The sequence below is a fragment of the Homo sapiens genome, chromosome 11 (assembly GCF_000001405.40).
Source record: "Homo sapiens chromosome 11, GRCh38.p14 Primary Assembly".
Taxonomy (NCBI): domain Eukaryota; kingdom Metazoa; phylum Chordata; class Mammalia; order Primates; family Hominidae; genus Homo; species Homo sapiens.
Genome location: NC_000011.10, coordinates 142348 through 148560, shown reverse-complemented (window position 1 = coordinate 148560; position 6213 = coordinate 142348).

The following is a 6213-nucleotide window of genomic DNA, read 5'->3' as shown; positions in this document are numbered from 1 at the left end:
ATTCCGCCCACCTCTGCCTCCCAAAGTGCTGGGATTACGGGCATGAGCCAGTGCATCTGGCCACCTTATTTTCTATTACTGGCTCAATGTAATGGCTCCATCTCAGGAACAGCCAATGAAAGAGATGCACAGGACAAGGTAAGTGGGGAGGGGCACAGAGCTTCCATGCCCTCTGTTGGGCACACTACCCTCCCAGGACCTCCTTGTGTTTAGCAACACAGAAGCTCTCCAAACCCTGCTGTTTGGGTGTTTATGGAGGCATGATTGATAAAATCACTGGCCATTGGTAGTTAAGTCAATCTCCAGTTCCTTTTGCCTCCTGGAGTTCAGCAGGTGAGGCTGAAAGTTCCAAGCCTCAAAAAATGTGGTTGGGGCCAGGTGCGGTGGCTCACTCCTGTAATCCTAGCAGTTTGGAAGGCTGAGGCACATGGACCACTTGAGGTCAAGAGTTTGAGACCAGCCTGACCAACATGGTGAAACCCCGTTTCTACTAAAAATAACAACAGTTAGCTAGGCGTTGTGGCACATCCCTATAATTCCAGCTACTCGGGAGGCCGAGGCAGGAGAATTGCTTGAACCCGGGAGGTGGAGGTTGTAGTGAGCTGAGATTGTGCCATTGCACTCCAGCCTGGGCTACAAGAGCCAAACTCCATTTTAAAAAAAAAATGTGGTTGCTTTCTCTGGCAGCTAGCCCTCCTCCTGAAGCAGTCTCGGAGCTTGCAGCCACCCTGTTAGCTCAACAGCATCCCACATGCATTCTTACCATGCTGCAGATCTGAAAGACCTTAGAGGCCCTTGTGTCAGGAACCTGGGACTAAGACTAAATATCAAAACAGAAAATACTCCTATTACCTCTGTCACGAAGGGCTTTATAAGAGCTTTGGAAGCTCTATGCCAGGAACCAGGGGCAGAGACCAAATGTATATTTCTTTTCTTATATTGGAGACAGAGTCTCACTCTGCCACTGAGGCTGGAGTGCAGTGATGTGATCATAGCTCACTGCAGCCTTGACCTCCTAGGCTAAAGCAATCCTCCCACCTTAGCCTCTCCAGTAGCTGGAACTACAGGCATGCATCACCATGTCCAGCTGATTTTAATTTTGTAAAGGCAGGATCTTCCTATTTTCCCCAGGCTGATCTCTAACTCTTAGCCTCAAGCAATCCTTCCTCTTTGGCCTCCCAAAATGTTGGGATTACAGATGGGAGCCCCCATACCCACCAATCACAAGGATTTTTATAAGAGAATGAGGTAGGAGAGTCAGAATTAGAGAAAGTGATGTGGTAATGGAAGAAGAGGTCAGAGAGGGAGATTTGAAGATGCTGCACTTCTGGCCTTGAATATGGAGTCACGAGGTAAGTCCAGGAATGGAGGTGGCTTCTAGAAGCTGGAAAAGGCAAAGGAGCACATTCTGTCTAGAGCCTCCCCCAGAAGGAATGCAGCCTCTCTGACACCTTGACTTTAGCCTTAATAGACCTAGTTGGGCTTCTGGCCCCCAGAACTGTAAGATGGTAGATTTCTGGTGTTTGATGCCACTAAATGTAGGGTACTTTGTTGTAGCAACAACAAAAAATGAACATGAAGCTGGGACCTCATGTTACGGTTGCTCACGCCTGTAATCCCAGAACTTTAGGAGGCTGAGGTGGGAGGATCGCTTAAGCCCAGGAGCTTAAGACCAGCCTGGGCAACATAATGAGACCTCATGTCTAAAAAAAAAATTTTTTAAAGGCCAGGCGCAGTGGCTCACGCCTGTAATCCCAGCACTTTGGGAGGCCGAGGAGGGTGGATCACGAGGTCTGAAGTTCAAGACCAGCCTAGCCAAGATGGTGAAACCCCATCTCTACTAAAAATACAAACATTAGCCAGGTGTGGTGGTGGGTGCCTGTAATCCCAGCTACTTGGGAGGCAGAGAATCACTTGAACCCAAAAGGCAGACATTGCAGTGAGCCAAGATCGCACCCTTACACTTCAGCCTGGGCGACCGAGACTCCGTCTCAAAAAAAAAAAAAAAAAGCCATGTGTTGTGGCATGCAGCTGTAGTCTCAGTTCCTAGGGTGGCTGAGGCGGGAGGATTGTTTAAGCCTGGGAGGTTGAAGTTGCTGTGAGCTGTGATTGCACCAGTGTACTCCAGCCTGGGCAATAAAGCAAGACCTTGTTTCAAAAAGAAAGAAAGAAATGAGCATGGTGGGAATGGGGACAGATGGCAGTGTTAAGTAGAGTGGTCAGGGTTGGCCTCATAAGTGAATATTGAGCAAAAGTTTGAAGCAGGTGATGGAGCTGGCCAAGGTGCTGAGGGAAGAGCATTGTAGGCTGAGTCAACAGGATAAAGGCATTAGGAGGAAACTCTCTGGTGTGTCTGAGGCTCTGGAAGGAGGCCAGTGGAGCAAAGAGATAGAGGGAGCGAAGTCAGCGAGGAGGCCAGGGAGTTGCTGGGCTGGGATCGGTACAGATCGTGTAAGCCCTGGGACGCTATTGCTGGGGCTTTGGCTTTTACTCTGACTAAAATGGGAACCACCGAGGGCTTCTGAGCAGAGAGGCGACATGATCCGTCTCCTGATTTAAAAGCACGACCTGGCTGCCGAGTTGAGAAAGACTATGGGAAGATTTGGGTAGAAGCATGGGAGCCAAGCTGTGGCAACATCCCAGTGGGAGATGATAGTGATCCTGACGGGGTTCATGGTGGTGGTGAGAGATGGTTAGAGCCTGGATACATGTTGAAGTCAGTCAGTAGGATTTCCTGACAGACTGGATGTGAGCTGTGAGAGAAGGCAGTGGTCAAGGTTGAGTTTGATTCTGATTGAATTATTAAGTAATTTTAAAAAACACTACTGCTTTTCCCAATCCTACCAAGTAAAGGATGCTAGATAAAAGAAATCCCAAGTCAGGCCAGGTACAGTGGCTCACACCTATAGTTCCAACAGTTTGAGAGGCAGAGATGGGAGTATGTTTTAAGGCCATGAGTTTGAGAGCAGCCTGGGCAACACAGCAAGACCTCCTCTCTACAAAAATAAAAAAAAATAAATTTAATAAAATAAAATAAATATAGCCAGGCATGATGGTATGTACCTATGGCCCCAGTTACTCATGTGGCTGAGATGGGCAGATCTCTTGATTCTAGGAGTTTGAGGCCAGCTTGGGCAACATAGCAAGTCTTCTCTCTCTACAAAAATGAAAAAAATGCCTGACATGGTGGTACTTGCCTGTATTCCCAGGTATGGGGGCAGCTGAGGCAGGAGCATCTCTTGAGCCCAGTTGGTCAAGATTGCAGTGAGCTATGATTATACCACTGCACTCCATCCTGGGTGACAGAGTGGGACCCTGTCTCAAAATACAAATACAAATGAAATCTCAAGTCAGACCAGTCCCTTCTAGGCTATGTAGGCCTTGTAACCACATAGCTGCATGATCGGGTTTGTGTGGCTGTGGATGAGGAGACCCCTGTCCAATTGTTGGCTATGTAATCAGTTTATTTTTCAATATAGTAATCAAATATATTTCATCATACTTGATGGTCTCAGATATGTGTGGATTTTGGAATTCCCCTTGGAACAGGTTGTAACATCTTATTGGCTCCATAATTCCATAATTTTTTTAATCTGATCAGTTTTTAATAAGATCGCAATTTATATTAGACTACTTAATCGGTTTTGTTAATGAGAAAATGAAATTGTGTTGTTTGCATTTTATCCAAGATGGGTGTCATATTGGGTAAATCTCATCAATACTTGAACAAATGCAAAATTAGAGCTTCTTTATCATGAAACACGATGTAATTCTTGAAGAAGATGCCATTTCTTTTTTTTCTTTTTTTTTTTAAGATAAGAGTCTTTTTCTTGTCACCCAGGCTGGAGTGCAATGGTGCGATTTTGGCTCACTGCAACCTTCACCTTCTGGGTTCAAGCAATTCTCCTGCCTCAGCCTCCCGAGTAGCTGGGATTACAGGTGCCCGCCACCATACCCAGCTAATTTTTGTATTTTTAGTAGAGATGGGATTTCACCATGTTGGCCAGGCTCCTCTGGAGCTCCTGACCTCAGGCAATCTGCCTGCCTCAGCCTCCCAAAATTCAAGGAGTACAGATGTGAACAACCACGCCCGGCCTCCATTTCTTTTTTGTAGTCTTTAATAAACAGCTGCTATCATTGCAGACTTGCTGTTTAGGCACTTAGGAATTTTTCACTAGAAGGCATGTAAATAAAGACCATGGGCAATTGTAATGAATTTCGCCTTCATTCTTTGACTACATGACTGTCCCCAGAGCTGTAACTTTATTGAATTTTTTAGAAGCCATTTAGCTAGCAACTGAGCCTAACCAGCCACTCACCGTCATTATTCAGTGCTCTTTTATTATTGTCTATTTCTCCTCCAACTTGGCTACACTCACAAAGTGATAAAAACTTGCATTTGTTTTCTTTCCTTTTCAGAGACAGCGTCTTGCTCTGTTGCTTAGGCTACAGTACAGTGACATGATCATGGTTCACTGTAGCCTCAAACTCCTGGGCTCAAGTGGTTCTCTCACTTCAGTCTCCCAAGTAGCTGGGACTACAGACATGTGCCACCATGTCCAGCTAATTTTTTATCATAGAGACGGGATCTTGCCATGTTGCTCCGACTGGGCTCAAAACTCCTGACCTCAAGTGATCCTCCTGCCTCAGCCTCCCAAAGTGCTGGGATTACAGGCAGGCATGACCACCTGTGCCCAGCCCCCTATTATTATTATTTTAAATAATAGCTTTATTAAAATATTCACATACCATTCACTTTATTTATTGAAATCTGCAATTCAGTAGGTTTTAGAATATTCACAGAGCTGTGCATCGATCACCACAGTCACTTTTAGAACCTTTCATTACCCTATAGAGAAATCCATACCCCTTAGCTACTACCTCCTACTCTCCCCACCTACCTTTGCCCCCAGCCTTAGGCAACCATTGATTAATTTTTTGTCACTATAGATTTGCCTAATCTGGACAAATAGAATTGTACAATATGTGATCTTTTGTGGCTTTTCTTCCCTCTTAGCACAGTGTTTTCAAAGTTCCTTTATGTCATAGTGTGTATCAATATTTCATTCCTTCTATGGCAGTATTCCATGGTAGAGACACACTGCATTTTGTTTATCTGTTCATCAGTTGGTGGATATTTGGGTTGTTTCCATGTATTCCATGTATTGGTCATTATGAATAATGCTGCTATGAAGATTGTTGTACAAGTTTTTGTGTGGACATATATTTTTATTTTTCTGGGATATATGCCTAGGAGTGAAATTGTTGCATTATAGGATGACTGTACATTTAGCCTTTTGAGAAACTGCCAGACTGTTTTCTAACGTGGCTATACCAGTTGGGTGCAATGGCTCACACCTGTAATCCCAGCTACTCAGGAGGCTCAGCTAGGAGGATGGCTTGGGCCCGTGAATTCAAGACCAGCCTGGGCAAGACAGTGAAACCCCGTCTTGATTTTTTAAAAATCCAATTAAAATGACAAGAAAAGAAATACCCAAACAAAATGGTTACACAATTTTATGTTCCCACCAGTAATGTATGTGGGTTCCAATTCCTCCACATCTTCACTGACATTTTTTTTTTCTAGATAGGGGCTTGCTCTGTCTCTCAGGCCGCAGTGCAATGATGCCATCACAGTTCACTGCAGCCGTGACCTCCCAGGCACAAGTGATTCTCTCATCTCAGCCTCCTGGGTAGCTGAAAATTACAGGTGTACGCCACCATGCCTGGCTAATTTTTAGATTTTTCTGTAGTGGTGGGATTTTACCATGTTGCCCAGGCTGGTCTCATACTCCTGGCCTCAAGTGATCTGCCCACCTCAGCCTCCCTAAGTTCTGGAATTACAGGCTGCCACCATGCCCGGCCTTCACCAACATTTGCCATTATCTGTTTTTTTTTTCTTCCTTTATACCTTAAAGCAGTATAAGAACAAGTGTCTTCAATTATAGGAAACAGTATAATCCCAGGGCTTTGGGAGGCTAAGACAGGAAGATGTCTTGATGCCAGGAGTTTTTTTTTGTTGTTGTTGTTTTTGTTTTTGTTATTGTTCTTGTTGTTTTTGACAGTCTCGCTCTGTCACCCAGGGTGGAGTGCAGTGATGGGGTCCACTGCAACCTCCACCTCCCAGGTTCAAGTGATTCTCCTGCCTCAGCCTCCCGAGTAGGTGAGACTACAGGTACACGCCACTACTGCCCAGCTAATTTTTGTATTTTT